The following is a 20,050-nucleotide window of genomic DNA, read 5'->3' as shown; positions in this document are numbered from 1 at the left end:
GTTGTAAAACAGCCTTCTTGGTGCCTCCTAGGCAGTTGCTAAAGCTCACGGCCCCAGAAAGCTTTTGATAGCTTCTTGGATCCTTTTCTGGAAGATTCCAGGCTCCTCTAGGCCACAGCACCCCGAACCCCACCTGACCAGCCCCTGGCTGTTCCTGTTTCCCGCAGTCTGCTCTGAAGCCTTGAAGCCTCAGCGGCCTCTTTCTCAAGGGAGTCCTAGATATTAATGATAGTGGTACATTTCACGTTGAAATGCTAAAATAGCAATCAGTGGAACTATTTCCCTGATGTGCAGGTCTAATGCGCTGTGTTGAATCAGAAGCCTTGCTCAGTGAGCCAACTCATTAAATCCTTAGGAGCAGCCGTCCTCAGAGACTCCCTTCACACACATGCCCTGTTCATCCTGTCCCAGGCCGGCCCTGTCAGGGACGCTGTTTCTTGTACTTGCCTCGTAACTACCTCTTGGGGATGTGAGAGACCAGGGTTGTAAGAGGTGGCCGTGATAGAGAATATTTATAGAAAGAAAACAAAGCAAAAAAAAAAAAGGAGAAACTGTTCTTCCTCTCCTAGGAATGTAGGATGAGTTGCTTTCCCAAACCTACTCCCCAGGTTCATCCAAAATTTAAAGGCCCCAGGCTCTGAGAGATTTCCCTTGGGTGATACCCCTGTTCTCCATCCTGGCAACACTCAGTGATGTGTGGGAAATGGAAGCACGGCAGGAAAAACCTAGGAACCTGAACACCCGGATAATCTTGAAAGATCCCTCTTTTTTAAAAAAATACATAAGTGTGTGGAACTATAATTTTTATATAATCGAGTGTTGGCCAAATATGAAAGACAATGGAATTGAATTCTTTTTTTTTTTAATTATACTTTAAGTTCTGGGATACATGTGCAGAACGTGCAGGTATACACGTACCATGGTGGTTTGCTGCACCCATCAATCCGTCATCTACATTAGTTATTTCTCCTAATGCTATCCCTCCTCTAGCCCCCTCACCCTCCAACAGGCCCCGGTGTGTGATGTTCCCCTCCCTGTGTTCATGTGTTCTCGTTGTTCAGGTCCCACTTACGAGTGAGAACATGCAGTGTTTGGTTTTCTGTTCTTGTGTTACTTTGTTGAGAATGATGGTTTCCAGCTTCATCCATGTCCCTGCAAAGGACATGAACTCATCCTTTTTTATGGCTTCATAGTATTCCATGGTGTATATATGCCACATTTTCTTTATCCAGTCTATCATTGATGGGCATTTGGGTTGGTTCCAAGTCTTTGCTGTTGTGAATAGCGCTGCAGTAAACATACGTGTGCATGTGTCTTTATAGTGGAATGATTTATAATCCTTTGGGTATATACCCAGTAATGGGATTGCTGGGTCAAATGGTATTTCTGGTTCTAGATCCTTGAGGAATCGCCACACTGTCTTCCACAATGGTTGAACTAATTTACACTCCCACTAACAGTGTAAAAGCGTCTGTATTTCTCCATATCCTCTCCAGCATCTGTTGTTTCCTGACTTTTTAATGATTGCCATTCTAACTGGTGTGAGATGGTATCTAATTGTGGTTTTGATTTGCATTTCTCTGATGACCAGTGATGATGAGCTGTTTTTCATATGTTTGTTGGCCGCATAAATGTCTTCTTTTGAGAAGTATCTGTTCATATCCTTTGCTCACTTTTTGATGGGGTTGTTTTTTTCTTATAAATTTGTTTAAGTTCCTTGTAGATTCTGGATATTAGCCCTTTGTCAGATAGACAGATTGCAAAAATTTTCTCCCATTCTGTAGGTTGCCTGTTCACTCTGATGGTAGTTTCTTTTGCTGTGCAGAAGCTCTTTGGTTTAATTAGATCCCATTTGTCAATTTTGGGTTTTGTTGCCATTGCTTTTGCTGTTTTAGTCATGAAGTCTTTGCCCATGCCTATGTCCTGAATGGTATTGCCTAGGTTTTCTTCTAAGATTTTTATGGTTTTAGGTCTAACATTTAAGTCTTTAATCCATCTTGAATTAATTTTTGTATAAGGTGTAAGGAAGGGGTCCAGTTTCAGTTTTCTGCGTATGGCTAGCCAGTTTTCCCAATACCATTTATTAAATAGGGAATCCTTTCCCCATTGCTTGTTTTTGTCAGGTTTGTCAAAGATCAGATGGTTGTAAATGTGTGGCATTATTTCTGAGGCCTCTGTTCTGTTCCATTGGTCTATGTATCTGTTTTGGTACCAGTACCATGCTGTTTTGGTTACTGTAGCCTTGTAGTATAGTTTGAAGTCAGGTAGCGTGATGCCTCCAGCTTTGTTCTTTTTGCTTAGGATTGTATTGGCTATACAGTCTCTTTTCTGGTTCCATATGAAATTAAAATATTTTTTTCTAATTCTGTGAAGAAAGTCAGTGGTAGCTTGATGGGGATAGCATTGAATCTATAAATTACTTCGGGCAGTATGGCCATTTTCACAATATTGATTCTCCTATCCATGAGCATGGAATGTTTTTCCATTTGTTTGTGTCCTCTCTTATTTCCTTAAGCAGTGGTTTGTAGTTCTCCTTGAAGAGGCCCTTCACATCCCTTGTAAGTTGTATTCCTAGGTATTTTATTCTCTTTGTAGCAATTGTGAATGGGAGTTCACTCATTATTTGGCTCTCTGTTTGTCTATTATTGGTGTATATGAATGCTTGTGATTTTTGCACATTGATTTTGTATCCTGAGACTTTGTTGAAGTTGCTTAATCTTTCCTCTTAAGCCTCACTCTTCCGCCTCTTCCTCTCATCATTAAAAAAAATGGTGGGATTGGGAAATGCATGTTCTCTGAGAACCTAAATGACCCATTTGACATTTAATTTAGTTTTATTTCCTCTCTCCATATTGTGGTTGAATCCAATGACATAGCCCCAGAATGATACATAGAAATGCAAAGAAGAAGAAGAAAGTCTCCTGCATTACTCCACGGTTAGCATCATCGTCTCTGGGGAGCTGGTCGTCTCTGGGGTTTCATTGGGGTAGATGAAACTGTGTTTTAGCACTCTAACTTTGAGTGGACACGTGAGGCCAGTTCTGACCTGGAATCCTAGTGTCACATCCAGTGATTAAGTACTTTGGTGGCTCCTAAAATGACTGAAGACAACGCCCACGCCATGACACTAGCACTTATGAGGGCCCAAACATGGGCTGTAGGGGTAGGCACTAGGTGCACTGGGATGAGTCCTGTTATCTTCATTTTCTTGCTATATCAGCCTAAATGTTAAGATAATTCTTAGACAAATGGGAGACTCAAACTTTGCTCACAATGACAGGATTCTGAAATTTGTTCCATAGTAATAGGACTTTGTTTTGCAGCCTGGATTCTTTCCTGTATGGCCTCCATGTCCTCTTCAAAGGTGACTTCAGAATAACAGCACGTGACGAGTGGGTATTTGCTGACATGGACCTACTGCATAAAGTTGTAGCTCCAGCTATCAGGATGTCCCTGAAACTTCACCAGGTAAAAACCTATTTTATTTATTTATTTATTTATTTATTTATTTATTTATTTATTTATGAGATGGAGTTTCGCTCTTGTTGCCCAGGCTGGGGTGCAATGGCACAATCTCGGCTCACCACAACCTCCACCTCCCGGGTTCAAGCGATTCTCCTGCCACAGCCTCCCAAGTAGCTGGGATTACAGGCATGTGCCACCATGCCCAGCTAATTTTGTATTTGTAGTAGAAATGGGGTTTCTCCATGTTGGTCAGGCTGATCTCGAACTCCCGACCTTAAGTGATCTGCCCGCCTTAGCCTCCCAAAGTGCTGGGATTACAGGCGTGAGCCACTGCACCTGGCCAAACCTATTTTTTTAGAAAAAACTATCGCTCAGCTACTCGGGAGGTTAAGGTGGGAGGATAGCTTGAGCCCGGGAGTTTCAGGCTGCAGTGATCTATGATTGCGCCACTGCACTCCAGCCTGGGTGACAGTGCAAGACCCTGTCTCTTGGGGAAAAAAAAAGAAAAAGGATCAGCCTGAAACTTTAGGGGAAAAAATGGCCTTTAAAAATATGGTCTCCTTTCTCTGCACAGCACTGTAAGTGGGTTTATTACTTAGGTAACTAAGCATTGAAGCCGTCCAGATAGTCTTGACTTTAGCCAATGGTGATTTGCCCTCAAGAGCAGCTAGGCTAGGAGGTGGTGATATTCCACTAGAAGAAAGATGGGTATTGTGCAGAGACAATGACTTAGCAAAAGTGCCCAACCTATATCTAAAACTATATCTAAAGGTCAGAGGAACCTAAGCCATGAAGCTCTTTTCTAGGCACATTCCATTGGTTAGGGCAATGAGATAAAGAGGTGTCCTCTGTGCCGAGCTCAGGATTTGGAAAAAGAACAGGAGAGAGGAAGATGAGGAAAGAGCTTAGCTTTGGAGGTCACTGGCCAGTTGCCATCTGCATGCTTCCTGGGGGTGAGTTCCTCTGGTCCTTGCCCAGCCCACACCCACACTTCTTCCCACCAGGACCAGTTCACTTGCCCTGACGAGTATGAAGACCCAGCAGTCCTCTACGAGGCCATCCAGTCCTTCGAGAAGAAGGTGGTCATCTGCCACGAGGGCGACCCGGCCTGGCGGGGCGCAGTGCTGTCCAACAAGGAAGAGCTGCTCACCCTGCGGCACGTGGTGGACGAGGGTGCCGACGAGTACAAGGTCATCATGCTCCACAGAAGCTTCCTGAGCTTCAAGGTGATCAAGGTATGGCGGCCACACTTTCTGGGTCCCCTGTTGGCTCGTGTCTCTCTATCTGAGAAGAAATAGAATGGTGGTGGGCAGGGGGGCACTGACACAGGAGTCTCTGTGCCAGCATCCTCTGTTCAGAGGGATGTTCTGGAAGGAGCGCTGGCTGGCAAGTGGGGCAGGGCATGGTGCCAGGCTGGGTGCTGTGTTCCCCTGGCAGGATCACCCTCCACCTCACAGAGCCAGCACACAGACACAGACTTTGCCAAGAAGACCCAGTAGACACACATGTAAGTGAGAGTCAGGATATAGCTTATTTGTAAAGACTTTTTATTCTCTAGAACCCACACCTTTCTCTCATAAACCATTCCTGGATCCGAAGGCCTTATTCCCAATGGCTCCTCTTTTCATATAGCTTCAAATCACTAAGTGAAAACAAAAACTACTTTCTCTGCATTCTCTCTCAGTTTCCCCATGAAGATGGCATCATATCCGTCTTGCAGGATGGCTCTTCTGGCTTAACTGTGAAAAGAGCTTTACACCAAAGTTTTGTAGTCACAGATATTCAGTCCCAGAGCCCTGCTCTCTCATTGTAGTTAAAAACCAATAGATTGGCCGAGGCGTGTGGATCACCTGAGGTCAAGAGTTCGAGACCAGCCTGACCAACACGGAGAAACCCCGTCTCTACTAAAAAATACAAAATTAGCCAGGTGTGTTGGCACATGCCTGTAATTCCAGCTACTCGGGAGGCTGAGGCAAGAGAATTGCTTGAATCCGGGAGGCGGAGGTTGCAGTGAGCTGAGATTGCACCATTGCACTCCAGCCTGGGCAACAAGAGCGAAACTCTATCTCAAAAAAAAAAAAAAAAAAGAAAAAGAAAAAACCAATAGACTGGAAAACACAGGCCTTCTGCCTTTCTTCCCGTTCCCTCTCTGACCTGCAGGTTAACAAAGAATGCGTCCGAGGACTTTGGGCCGGGCAGCAGCAGGAGCTTATATTTCTTCGCAACCGCAATCCGGAGCGCGGCAGTATCCAGAACAATAAGCAGGTCCTGCGGAACTTGATTAACTCCTCCTGCGATCAGCCCCTGGGGTACCCCATGTATGTCTCCCCACTAACCACATCCTACCTAGGGACACACAGGCAGCTGAAGAACATCTGGGGTGGACCCATCACTTTGGACAGAATTAGGACCTGGTTCTGGACCAAGTGGGTAAGGTAAGTTTTTACAACAAATGCCTCTGTCCAGATGCTGGGGGAAGGTGTGGGGGATGCAGGGAGCTCTGTACTCCTGGTTCAGATTTCACTGTCAGCCACCATTTTCTCATATGATTAAAACTGCTACCCCCAAGTGGCATCGAACAGATCATTTGTTTCAGCAAGCAGTCTCAGATTATGAATCCATGGAAAATCTCATATGGATGAGAATCTCTTTCCCCCACATTTGCACAGGCTGAGTTCTTGCAGAGCTGCCAAGGTTATGAGTCTTTAGCAGTAACCATTCCACATCTGTTAGCAAGAACTGGAAGAACATCCCCAGCACACATTTCTCATCCAATAAGTCTTCTTACCTGGATGTAGTAATCAGTTGGGATGAATTCTAAGAAGTTTTGCCTGAAGACGACAGAGCTCCCTATCAAGCCTCAGTGCTAAGGGTTCTTATGGAAGGTTGAGACGGAAGCCCATTCATCCTGGTGCAGTCTGTTCATTTATTAGATGCTGAGGTTTGGGAACAACAGCCCCTCTTCCCACCAGCATGCCAGGTGGGCTACTCACCTGGAGAGCACGCTCTTCGATCCCGATTTAGGCAAGGCCATGGTGGTGCATTTAGGGGGATTGGAAGTGTGTTGCTGAGAATCCTCAAAGGACTTCTCCCTCCCACAGGATGCGGAAGGATTGCAATGCCCGCCAGCACAGTGGCGGCAACATTGAAGACGTGGACGGAGGAGGGGCCCCGACGACAGGTGGCAACAATGCCCCGAGTGGTGGCAGCCAGGAGAGCAGCGCAGAACAGCCCAGAAAAGGCGGTGCTCAGCACGGGGTGTCATCCTGTGAAGGGACACAGAGAACAGGTGGGTGCAGCAGGGGCCTCCAAACTATCGATGAAGTCCTATTTGGTCCCAGTGACCAATGCCCTGAGTTATGATGTTGTTTAAACCTCTGAGAGCACCTTCTTGCATTGGGACAATAGATGCCGGAAATTTGCAGACTCTTGTAGGTTCTGCTCAGGAAAACAATTCTCCATCTGTTAGATTCAGCTTTTACCATTTATCCATCTGTCCATGACCTTGGCCAGCCATTCATCTGTCTGTCCACCTGTCCAGGGGTCGCTGCATTCCATTCCATCTTTCCGTCTCTCACTCTATGACCGTTTGATGGTGTGCCTTCTGTGTCTGGCTGTGTTGTAGCTATTGGCCCATGTACTGTCTCCCTCTTCTCCAAGTGTCCGTGGGGCACACAAACAGGCCTCCTGCCTTCCCTCTCCTGCTTCTCACTGATTCTCACCTTCCTCCACTTAGACTTGACATTTCAGAGCAGAAGAAAAGAGGGCAGAAAGGGTGCCCACAGATAGGAACCTAGGAGGTGGCTGCAACCAAGCCTGGCTGAGTCTAAAGTTTAAAATTATGTTTAAACTAACACCCAAATAGTTATACTCCACCAGATGGATGAAGTTCCAAAACTCCACTGGTGGTCTGCACTGGGGAGGAGGTGGTTGGACTAGAAAAGGAGATCCAGAGGATGAGTGTCCTGGGAACATGAAAGAGATGGATGCTCTGCCCTGGTTCCTGCTGGTCCTTGGCTTTACCCTCTGGAGCATGTTAGTGGTTTTACTTTTTGGCCTCAGTTCTTCCTCACCATCCAGAAGCGTTTAATAAGTGCCTCTGTGCATGCTTCTCCTGCTAGCTCTGCACCAAATGAGCCAGGAGTTACAGTCCCTGCCTCCTGGGAGTGCCCAGAGCAAGGCAGAGGATTGAACAGAGACAGTAGGATGTATGCAAACATGAGCAAGATATGAGAGAGAGAAAGAGAGGATATATGTATAAATCAAAAAGTATCTGAGACAGCTGTCAATTAATTTAGAGGTTTATTTTGCCAAGGTTAAAGAGGTGCCCAGGAAAAAAGGACACAAGCGACAGACCCAACTGTGGCTACTTTTTCCAAAGAGGGTTTGGGGACTTCATTATTTAAAGGGGAAAGAATGGGCAATAGGGGAAAAAGGCGGGGCAGGGGATAAGGAAAAGGGGTATTTTGCAACCACTGTGACCAGCCTTTGAGGCTTTCATCAACCTTCACTGAATCCACATTTTACATGTAAAAAGCGTAGGTAGAGAAACAGTCAATTGTACATTCATGTCCAGCTCCGCAGATCTGCATTTTTACATAAAGTAAACATAGAGTTGAAGAAGGAGTCATGTGTGCCTTTGTCTCAGGTGAGCAGATGGAGGACTCCTAGTCCTATCTTTGTCCCGCATTTGTAAAGGTAAGCTGTTCATTTACATTGTCAGGGTGAAATTTAACAGAACTGTTTTAGAGTAAAGATCTTGGGGCCCACAAGGAATTTCTCTGCAAGCAAATTGGGAGGGAGACAGTTTTGCATGTCTCAGTTCCCAGGCTTGACTTTTTCCTTTGGCATATGAGTTTGGGGAGATTTTATTTTCCTTCCACAGATGCTAGATAGGTAGATAGGGACTGATTGATAGAGGACAGAAAGAAAGCTAGGTAGGTAGATAGATAGGTAAATAGACAAAATAGGTGGTATCCGCTGCTCAAAAGAAAGGAAAAAAGATCTCCCCCTGCCCCACCCACCCCATGCTGTTTACTCTGAGGCCCTGCAGGACACCTGCTGGAGGCCTCCCATGCAGCTCCCAGGCCTCCAGTATCTCATTGTTTAGTTAACATTTCTTATCACATGAAAAATGTGTTTCAGGATCATGGGAGTGACTTTCCAGGTGGGGAAATGCAAAGTAGCTTCCAAATGGTGAAATGCCTAAGCATCTGTCATTTGCCAGTACTTCCAGGTGACTTGTGTGGACTGGAGAAAGTCCAGAGTCAGGGGGGTGTGGCTGCGGGGTGGGCAGGGTCAGAGACAGGGGTCAGAGGTGGGGGTTCCAGAAGTGCTTCAGACCTGGTTTCTTGAAGCTTGGCAGAAAAGAAATTGGAGGCCGGGTGCTGTGGTGCACACCTATAATCCCAGCACTTTGGGAGGCTGAGGTGGGAGGATCACTTGAGGTCAGGAGTTCAAGACCAGCCTGGCCAACATGGTGAAACCCCATCTCTACTAAAAATACAACAAAAAATTAGCCAGGTGTGGTGGTGGGTGCTTGTAATCCCAGTTACTTGGGAGGCTGAGGCAGGAGAATCCCTTGAACCCAGGAGGCGGAGGTAGCAGTGAGCCGAGATCACGCCACAGCACTCCAGCCTGGGTGGGGGGAGAGGAGGGGGAAGAAATTGGAAACACCTTCTTCCCTTTCTTCCTATAAAACAGCACCTGGAACTGGCCTTGCCTGGAAGAGCTGGTGTTCCTTCCACTCCCTGGAGTCCGAACACCATAGGCAGTGAGCATTCCTTGCATTTACAGGAGCAATCACAGCTTCCCGTTTGTGGAAGATGTCAGAGCAGGATCTTTTTTTTTAAATTGGATTTTTAAGTTAAAATTTAATAATCAAACTATACAATCAGCATAGTTTAAAACTCAAAAAGGACTGCCTGGATTAAAACAAAAATCATGGGTTTCCCCCCTTCACCCCCCAGCAACATTCCTAATTCTCAGAGGTTACTGCTTCCAACTCTTGCAGCTGCTTTGTATTTTTGGGGCATCTACCTCCACATATTTAAATGACACGCTTACTCTGGAGCAGGATCTACTAAAGCCTAAACCAGCTGTTAATTTCTCATGAATGCTTCTTAAAACTTCCTGCCAAGGCCACCGCTGGCTTTCTACATTTTACAAGCAAAGGAGCATGCCTGGCTAAATACCCCACACACCACATGCCTTGGCCACACCTGCAGCCTGAGTTTGTCCCAGGCTCTGAGACCAGTTGTTGTCCTGCTTAGGGGGATGGAGGGTTGGGGAGATTTATGAAGCCCTGGGCCAAGCATCAGCTGCTTTGAACTCACCTGCCTTGCTGCCACCCTGCTCTTTCTCTGCCCCCCGGTGTATTCACAGCATCCTTGCTGCAGGTGATAAAATTTGATAACAGTAACAGTTCTCAGGTTCTACTCTACCAACACCATCCTGAGTACTTTCATGTGCACATTCACTGGATCCTCACCATGGCTTTTAGAGATGCAGGCAGTTTCACCCTCCTCATCTTGCAGATAAAGAAACTGAATGTATTAGTCTGTTTTCACACTGCTACAAAGGTACTACCTGAGACTGTGTAATTTACAAAGGAAGGAGGTTTAATTGACTCACAGTTCTGCATGGCTGGGGGGACCTCAAGAAACTTACAATTATGGTGGAACGTGAAGGGGAAGAAAGACACATCTTACATGGTGGCAGGAGAGAGCAAGAGTGAGGAAGTGCCACACTTTAAAACCACCAGCTCTCATGAGAACTCACTCACTATCACAAAAACAGCCTGGGGGAAACCACCCCCATGATCCAATCACCTCCCACCAGGTCCCTCCCTCAACACATGGGGATTTTTTTTGGGTGGGGATACAGAGCTCAACCATATTATTATGCCCCTAGTCCCTCCTAAATCTCATGCCCTTTCACATTTCAAAACCAATCATGCTTCCCAACCATCCCCCAAAGTCTTAACTCATTCCAACATTAACTCAAAAGTCCAAATCCAAAGTCTCATCTGAGACAAGACAAGACCCTTCCACCTATGAGCCTGTAAAATCAAAAACAAGTTAGTTACTTCAAAGATACAATGGGGGAACAAGCATTGGGTAAATGTCCCCATTCCAAATGGAAGGAATTAGCCAAAACAAAGGGGCCACAGGCCCCATGCAAGTCCAACACCCAGCTGGTCAGTCATTAAATCTTAAAGCTCCAAAATCTCCTTCAATGCCATGTCTCATGTCCAGGTCACACTGGTGCAAGAGGTGGGCTTCCAATGCCTTGGGCAGCTCTGCATGGGTACAGTCCCTGCAGCTGTTTTCATGGGCTGGTGTTGAGTGTTTGCAGCTTTTCCAGGTGCACAGTGCAAGCTGTTAGTGTATCTACCTTTCTGGGATCTGGAGGATGGTGGCCCTCTTCTCATAGCTCCACTAGGCAGTACCCCAGTGGGACTCTGGGGGCTCCAACCCCACATTTCCCTTCTGCACTGCCCTAGCAGAGGTTCTCCATGAGAACTCCGCCCCTGCAGCAGACTTTTGCCTGAACATCAGGCATTTCCATACCTCCTCTGAAATCTAAGCAGAGGTTCCCAAAGTTCCACTCTTGTCTTCTGCACACTCTTAGGCCCAACACCACATGGAAGCAGCAAAGGCTTGGAGTTTGCACCCTCTGAAGCAATGGCCCAAGCTGTACTTTGGCCCCTTTTAGCCACATTGGAGTTGGAGTGGTTGGGATGCAGGGCACCAAATCCAGAGGCTGCACAGAATAGTGGGGTCCGTGGCCCAGCCCATGAAACCATTTTTCCCTCCTAGGCCTCCAGGCCTGTGATGGGAGGGGCTTCCGTGAAGATCTCTGAAATGCCCTGGAGACATTTTCCCCATTGTCTTGGCTACTAACATTCTGCTCCTTGTTACTTATGCAAATTTCTGCAGCGAGCTTGAATTCCTCCCCAGAAAATGGGCTTTTCTTTTCTACTCCATCGTCAGGCTGCAAATTTTCCAAACCTTTATACTCTGCTTCCTTTTTAAACATAAGTTGTACTTCCAAACCATCTCTTCATGAACAAATATGACTGAACACTTTCAGAATAAGCCAGGTCACCTTGTGAATGCTTTGCTGCTTAGACATTTCTTCCAACAGATACCCTAAATCATCTCTCTCAAGTTCGAAGTTCCACAGATCTCTAGGATGGGATAAAATGCCGCCAGTCTCTTTGTTAAAGCACAGCAAGAGTGATCTTTGTTCTAGTTCCCAAAAAGTTTCTCATCTTCATCTGAGACCTCCTCAGCCTGGACTTTATTGTCCATATTACTATCAGCATTTTGGTCAAAACCATTCGGCAAGTCTCTAGGAAGTTCCAAACTTTCACTCATCTGCCTGTCTTCTTCTGAGCCCTCCAAACTGTTCCAATCTCTGCCTATTACCCAGTTCCAAAGTTGCTTCCACATTTTCAGGTATCTTTATAGTAATACCCCACTCTGCTGGTACCAATTCTCCATATTAGTCCATTTTCACACTGCTATAAAGATACAACCTGAGACTGGGTAATTTATAAAGAAAGGTTTAAATGACTCACAGGTCCACATGGCTGGGGAGGCCTCAGGAAACTTACAATCATGGCAGAAGGCGAAGGGGAAGCAAGGTGTGTCTTACATGGCAGCAGGAGAGAGTGAGACCAAGGAGGTGCCACACTTTAATACTATCAGCTCTTGTGAGAACTCACCCACTATCACAAGAACAGCCTGGGGGAACCATGCCCCCATGATCCATTCACTTCCCAGCAGGTCTCTCCCTCAACACATGGGGATTACAATTCAAGATCAAATTTGGGTGGAGACCAGAGGCCTAGAAAACTTAAGTCACTGCCCAGTGTCACCCAGCCAGGCAGTGGCCAGTCTGAGATTCATTCCCAGGTGAGCTGGCCCCAGAACTTGTGATCTCAGCCACCTTGCACCATCCCATTGTCCTGGCCCCAGGGATGCTGCTTCGAATGTCCTTGTCCCCAGCCCTGGGAATGAGTTGATGGAAACAAGCATTACTGAACACTGAGTGTGCCGCCCTTGCCTCCTGCCCTCCATCTGTGCAGCTGGCATGTCTCTGCCCAGCATGACTTTGTCCTGTCCCCTGGCTGGCAAGGGTTCCACTTATAAGTGATCTTCCTTCTGGCCCCACGAGCAGGCAAAGCTGACACCCAGTTCTTTCTGAAGCAGCCAGCAGGGGCTCCTTTACTTTCTCACTGTGGTCAGGGAGGGACAGGAGCAGAGCAAGGGACTGTCTCAAGTACCTTTCTGGCTCAAGGAGCTGACATGCTGAGGAAAGAAGGCACTGCAGCCTAGGAAGCTATGCCAAGGCTTTTATCCCCAGCAGAGGGTCAGAGAGCTGGAAGAAGACAGGGGAGATTGAACAAGGCCTGCTACCCCTTTCCCACTTAAAAGAAGGAAAAACCTCTCTCTTGCTATCATCTCTCTTGCTTTTTCTCCCTGGTCTTTCGTGCAGCTCCGACAACACACAAAATCGTAAATCTCCACAAAGCAAGTCAGAGTGATTTTATTTAAACTTAAATCAGTTCACGTTGTTCTTCTGTTGAATGATGGCTTCAGCTCAGAATGTGTGAGTCTGCTTGGGCTGCCATGACAAAGTACCATGGCTCAGGTGGCTTAAACAGCATGAACCTACTGTCTGCCAGTTCTGGAGGCTGGAAGTCTGAGATCCAGGTGTGGGCAGGCTTGGTTCCTCCTGAGGGCTGGAGGGGAGTGGGGTCCAGGACCCTTCCCTAGCTTGTGGTGGTTCACCGGCCATCTTAGGCATCCCCCGGCCTCGAGAAGCACCACTGAGCTCTGGCTTGGTCTTCACATCATGTTCTCCCTGTACTTCTCTGTGTCCACACGTCCCCTTTTTATAAGGACACTGGTCATCATGGACTCAGGGCCCATCCTACTCCAGTATGACCTCATCTTAACTAATGACATTTGCAACGACCCTGTGTCAAAGTAAGGCCCCACCCTGAGGTCCTGGGGGTTAGGGCTTCAACAGAGGAGTCTGGGGAGGGAACATGATTCAGCCCGGAACACCCACGCGCATCCCATGAGCACCCCTCCCCCGCAGGCCCCCATCTGGTCTGCTCTCTCTCTCACGCCTTCTCTCCCTTCTCTCAGCCCTCTCTTATGAGCCCACATCCCCAGCACACGGTCTCTTGCTGTCCCTCAACAGTGTCAAGCATTCTCCTTTCCAGGGCCCCCTCAGCTGCTGCCTCCTCTGTCCCCAGTGTCCCTCTCCCAGGCTTGCAGCTCCTTCGCTTACTCACACAGCCTCCCATCAAATCCCAGCTTATCCAAGAGACCCTGGCCAGCCTTCCATACAGCACTGCTGTCCCCCTGCCCCACTTTCTCCTCCCCTCCAATCCCTGCCTGATGCATGTGCCTTGTCTGTGGTCAGAATTTCCCATGAGCTGCTCACTGCCCGGCACCTAGGACAGTGCAGCCCACGGTGGACGCTCAGGTGGGCAGCCCTAACTTCTGCAGAGCCTGTGACAGGAGCACATGTGAAGACCACACCACCCTCTTCCCCACTCTCCCCACATCCTGCCAGGTGAGGGGCTGCCTGCATGCACTGGAGCCTCCCCATTCACATGCCCGTCTGGGGGTGCACGTGCCTGCAAGTAGGCCCAAGGTCCGCCCTGGGAGACGACCCTGGGGAAGAGGCCTGTGCAGGCCCCAGTTTGGGGCAGGGAGTTCTGGAGTCCTGGGAACCCAGCACACGGCCAAGCAGGAGTGGGTGGGAGCTGGTTGACGTGCTCCTGTCTCCACAGCTTCCTGGCCCTGTGGGGACAGAGACGGCTGCAGGGGCCACCAAGGGAAACCTCTGAGGTGCTGGGCTGGGTGGTAAGCATGATCTGGGCTCAGCAGACAAAGGTTGGACGAATGAGTGGATGGTTACCCCTCCTGGCCTCAGCCACTTACACTACAGCTTCCCTAGAGGGCGAGGGTGCAAAGCCCTTGGGTCTCAGAGTTGCAGCTGTAGGCAGGTTCTGTCACAGCCAAGAGCAGTGGAGCCAAGAGCTGCCGATCTTGTTGGCTCTCCTGAAATGTACCATCATGACCTTGGTGCCCCAATCCCCCGGCCAGAATCCCTCCAAGATGTGATTCAACTATCCAGAAGGCTCTCTAGCACTGACTGCGACCGGGAGCACAGAGCTTTCATTCCCCTCAAGACACTGCACCTGAGACCCAGTGTGCAGGTAGCCCAGGTTCCAAGGAGAGCAAGCCCAAGAAGGAGGCTACCACAACGGGAGGGGCGGCTCTGCCTGGCCCTGCCCGGGACACTTTGCGGAAACCACCTACCTGCCATTCCCAGCAGGCCATCATTCCCTTCAGGGATGTGAGGATAACTGGATTTGATTTCAGTCTCTGGCCTCCTTCTCACCCTCCTTCTAGTTAAGTAAAACAACCATGCCCGTCCGAGTTGAGACACACAGCTCCCAGAAAGGAAGCCAGAGACCTGCTTGGCCAGTGCAGGGGCGTTAGAGGCCAGTCTCCAGCTATGGGGAGAACATTCCCTGATCCCAGATCTTTGGACTTGACCCTGGAAGTATGGAGGAATCACCTTCCTATTTTCCTAACCTTTAGCTTGCCCTCCAGTCTGCAGTGGCAGCCCCTTGGGCCCATCTACAGGCGCTTGCCTATGGGTCTCAGCCTCTAGTCAAGATATTGATTAATTTTTTGAAATGCTTCTAATGGCCAAGTTTAAGAAACACTGTACCCACCCCGAACTTTCTGAAGCTCACTGGATTTCTAATCAGCGTTTTGGCATCTGGTCAGTTTTGCAGGTTTGTCCTGTGTATCCTTTACTTACATGTTAGTGTACTGGGTGCTGAGCTCATAGAAGTGATACAGGGGTCCTTTGCTGCAGAAAGGGCACATAGTGGAGAGGACCGTGCATCAGACAGTGACAACACAGTGTGCTGAGTGCCATTGGAGAGGTGGTTGGGGGCCTCTCAGAGTGGAGGACCTGCCTCTCTGGGAAGGGCATGACAGAGACCCTTAGCCAAGTAGCAAAGAGTGAGCAGTTTTTTTTTTTTTGAGACGGAGTCTCACTCTTTCACCCAGGCCGGACGGCAGTGGCGCTATCTCGGCTCACTGCAAGCTCCGCCTCCTGGGTTCACGCCATTCTCCTGCCTCAGCCTCCTGAGTAGCTGGGACTACAGGTGCCCGCCACCACGCCTGGCTAATTCTTTGTATTTTTAGTAGAGATGGGGTTTCACCGTGTTAGCCAGGATGGTCTCGATCTCCTGACCTCGTGATCTGCCTGCCTCGGCCTCCCAAAGTGCTGGGATTACAGGCGTGAGCCACCGTGCCCGGCCGAGTGAGCAGTTTTGAAGGGCGAATTTGAAACAAATTCTAACAAGGGTCTTGTTTTACTCACCAAGTCACCAAGACTCAACTCACATAACTGGGGACCCAACTGCCCCCACCCTTCGTTGGTCCTTGCCTCAATTCTGGTCAGGTATCCCAATCCTGAGCCCTTGCTAGAGGCTGAGCGGACTGGGGTCCCTCCTGCCTGAGACCTCACAGACAGAACTCCTCTCCCCAGGCCAGCCACGCTGTGCATCTGCTGCTGCTGGTGCACACAGCACTTTGCACCCAGCTGCCAGGCGCTCACTACGCCAGCCTCATCTAGGTCCTGACAACCTGCAAACGTCTTGCTGGGGTAAAAAGCATATGTCACAGCTGGAAGGGGAGTTGGCCTAGCAGTGGAGGCTGGTGACCTACTTACTGGTGAGCAGTTAGGAATTCATAACTAATCCGAATCCCAGATTGGAGAGGGAGGCTGTGTTCTCATATTACTAAGGAGCTACACCACGATTGTTCAGATAACATCAAAGACAAAGGAATTAAGTGCCACGATAATAAACCAAGGAGGGTGATTTATATGTAAGGTATTTCCATTCAGGTTCTAAAAAGGTTTTCCCTAGAAACATTCATAACTTGGTAATAGAGTTATTTGCAAAATAAGTTAAATTGTAAAATAATGATCTTGAGTAGCACAAATGCATTTAGCATGGTTTGCTTCCTTAGTGCTGTTCCATTTGCAAAATTAATTAAAAAAAAAAAAGAGCAATGAGAAAACCTGAAGCAATGAAATCGGGTGGCGGGGGAGTCCTTGTCTTGCACAGACTACAGCAGGCCACTTCCCTTTGACACACAGTGGGTTATTTGTCCCCTTGTTCCTGGAATTCTCTAGGAAGTTCCCCACCAAGTATGGGTGGTCTTCTATTGAGCATCACAATCACTGACTTGTGGATAAATGTGGAGTATTTTTGGACAGTGATCAGCTTTACGATAGAAATCACAAACACACGTCCGGCCTTGCCAGACACTGAATAAACTAACAAATCGCCCTCCTTATTTTTCATTCTGATTCATCAGGGTCCCTTTCCTCCTCTCCTTTTTCTCTGTAAGAGGAATATATTCAACTACTCAGCCGGGACCTTTCAGGCCGGCCCGAATGCACCCCTCCTGCAGCAGAGGCGGGTGGGCCCCATGCGAGGGGCTGAGCACACTCATCCCAGGGAGGGCAGCCCCGTCCTGCGGAAGCCCCCAGCACTGTGGGGCGAGCGCTCCTTACTGTCAACACACGGGCAGGAGAAAGTGAGATGGGAGCACCAGTGCCCTCTGCAAATGGGCACTCGACCATCACAGCATCCAAACTGGCACTGTGGTCAACAGGAGGCAGAAAGGCCCCTTCAGCCTAGGCCACGGTGGGGTGGGGTGGGGCTGGAAGGAACCCTGGAATCCCCTTCGTAATGTGTATCCCTAAGGAATTGCCTCTCACATGATGTGTCAGTTCTTGGGTTCTCCTGGAGGCAGCCACGCCCGCTTCACAATCACCAGATGCATAATGAATAATGGGCATTTGGGGTGAGGTGGAACACAAGGCAATGCATAGGACGTCCTTTCTGATACTCATGCCTCCGCCCCCTTGTTTGTCTTTATTTAATGCCTAATTGTAGCAGCTGCAGGGATATGCCCATGATGCCGTTCATAGAACCATGATGTCACTAGCTGCTCCCATCAAAATGATATTTTGCAATTAGCCCCTAGTGATCATGGATGCTCAAGTTAAGCAACCCGGTGTTCTAGCCAGCACCCATTTCCTCAGACTGCTTAGACTGCAAAGCTGAACCACAGGCTGCACAGGGCCATCACGCACAGAAGACCCCATGAAGTTATCCTGCTTCCAGCAGCATGGACACAACCACATCTTTGGGGGTAGTCCAGTCCCTTTTGTCAAAAATGGCCTTGTCTAGACAAGTTTCAGCAAAGGCTGGGGTGGCAGGGCCCCTGAGGGGCGAGGCAGTGGGCAAAGGGGCTGGCTGAGAAGAGCATGGGAAGCAAGGCCCAGGCCTGGCCAGTAGTTGCGGGCCTGTAAGGGAAAGCTATTCTGGAAAAGAGGCGAGGGCATGGGCTTTCAGCTCTCCTCCCCTTTCTTCTTTTTTCATGGCAAATAAAAATGACAGAACCCTGCACGTTTTCCTTTATCACTGCTGATCGGATGAGCATGGGAACCAAGGTCCTGAGCCAGGATCATATTTGGGTTTACTTTATGAGCCCAAGTTCTGCTGCTGGCATTGTCCTGGTTCGCCTGAAGTAAGCAGCTTCCAGGCATGTGGGACTTTTCAGTGCTAGAACCAGGAATGTCCTGGCAAACTGAGCAGATCTGTCACCCTGGCTGCAGCTTCTCACACTGTACCCCCAACCCCAGCCCCCACCCTTGGGTGCCCTTCAGTCGGCCCTTTGGTTCTCAGGACCTGGACTTGGCGGGAGGGAGTGGGTGAGGCAGTGGTCAGGCTTCCAGCTCTTGTCCCAGCCTTGCAGGTGGTGCACTGAGGAGGGGTCCTTGGGCCCAGGCAGAGCAGGCCACCTGCTGCACCACACAGGTATCGATGTTCATGACCCACCCGCTACAACTCTGTGTTCTGCTTTCTTTTAAAGGCAGGAGGAAAGGCAGGAGCCAGTCCGTGCAGGCACACTCAGCGCTAAGCCAAAGGCCGCCCATGCTGAGCTCATCTGGCCCCATCTTAGAGAGCCGCCAAACATTCCTCCAGACGTCCACCTCAGTGCACGAGCTGGCCCAGAGGCTCTCGGGCAGCCGGCTCTCCTTGCACGCCTCGGCCACGTCCCTGCACTCTCAGCCCCCGCCCGTCACCACCACCGGCCACCTGAGTGTCCGTGAGCGGGCCGAGGCGCTCATCAGGTCCAGCCTGGGCTCCTCCACCAGCTCCACCCTGAGCTTCCTCTTCGGCAAGAGGAGCTTTTCCAGCGCGCTCGTCATTTCCGGACTCTCTGCTGCGGAGGGGGGCAATACCAGTGACACCCAGTCATCCAGCAGCGTCAACATCGTGATGGGCCCCTCAGCCAGGGCTGCCAGCCAGGCCACTCGGGTAAGGGGCTGGGCAGGGCTCACCAGGACAGGCTGGGATGGTGGCACGGGCTCCTGGCCTGAGCGTGGCACCTGCCTTGCGTTCCCACCCTTCTGCCTGCAGAACCCCATCCCCTTCTCTATGGGGCTCCCAGAGTGACAAAGGACAGTGATTAGACACGAAGTGGCTTAGCTGCTCTTGAAAGCAGACAAGATACAGAGCAGATATCCTGTAAACGATAATGCCCAGGCAGGCACTGAAAGGAGTCACCGGATACAGAGGTTCTGCAGAACTGTGGCCATCTGCCCTACACCGGGGCATGACGGAGAATGCCCTCCACCCATTCACACAGCAGGACTCTTCTCACATGATTCTGGCCTGAGGGAGAGGAAAGGACACCTGTCAATGCTGGAGTTAGAGCTTCACTGCTTCTCAGCCAATCGATTTGACTTTAAAGCTGCTGAGATGGCCCACTGCTTTTAGGTATTTAAATACTAGACAAGGAGAGTTCTAAGGACTTCACCCAAATAAGCTGTTACTTGTCCAGAATCCCAAACCAGCTGAGATGAAATGAATACTTGAGCTTCTTCAGTGAGAAAAAAGTAAATAAATACCCAGCAGTGCTCCTATGTGACCTGGTAGACAGGGAAAATCGATGGTGTCAAGGCAAAAATGGGTCAGGTTTGGAGAGTTCCCCCACTCCTTTTGAGTGTTCAGGTTTTCCTTACCATGGCTCATGCTTTCCATCAAGCACCAGAGTTGCAGTGGCTTGGCCTCTGGTTCTGGGTGAGGTTATTTGCAGGTGGAGACGGGGGGCTGCACCTGAACATTTCTAGTGTCACCCTCCCTCTCCTTCATGGGAAACAGCTCTCCAGGGAAGTACCTTCCTGCCAGGGGAAGCCAAGGCTGGGCCGGCCGCCCTACAAGGAGCCACAGGATTGCAGCCATGGGTGCCACCTTTCATGGAAGGGGAGATTTATGGGCTTTCCTGGAACCCCCAGGCTGTCCTGGCCAAGAGGAAAGAGGTGGTTACTTCAGGAGTTTGACCTTAGTTAGATAACTAAAAGAATACATTTCCCCTCCCTTTTCTTTATTTCCTCAATAAAAATGTACAAAGTATCACCCTTCTCCATGCCCCAATCTGTGTTAAAGTCACAA

General features: G+C 49.2%; 1 protein-coding gene across 5 annotated transcripts in view; it reads left to right on the top strand.

The window, feature by feature from the left end:
- Window positions 1–20,050, top strand: part of PCNX2 (pecanex 2) — a 343,895-nt gene that overhangs the window by 322,325 nt on the left and 1,520 nt on the right. For all 5 annotated transcript variants that reach the window (XM_047430870.1, NM_014801.4, XM_047430871.1 and 2 more), the window contains 5 exons: window positions 3,324–3,468; window positions 4,470–4,700; window positions 5,626–5,900; window positions 6,567–6,754; window positions 18,465–18,913. In XM_047430870.1, the coding sequence (XP_047286826.1) occupies window positions 3,324–3,468; window positions 4,470–4,700; window positions 5,626–5,900; window positions 6,567–6,754; window positions 18,465–18,913 (1,288 nt within the window). The remainder of the gene's footprint in view (window positions 1–3,323; window positions 3,469–4,469; window positions 4,701–5,625; window positions 5,901–6,566; window positions 6,755–18,464; window positions 18,914–20,050) is intronic.

The sequence above is a fragment of the Homo sapiens genome, chromosome 1 (assembly GCF_000001405.40).
Source record: "Homo sapiens chromosome 1, GRCh38.p14 Primary Assembly".
Classification (NCBI taxonomy): domain Eukaryota; kingdom Metazoa; phylum Chordata; class Mammalia; order Primates; family Hominidae; genus Homo; species Homo sapiens.
This window is presented reverse-complemented; position numbering and strand designations above follow the sequence as displayed.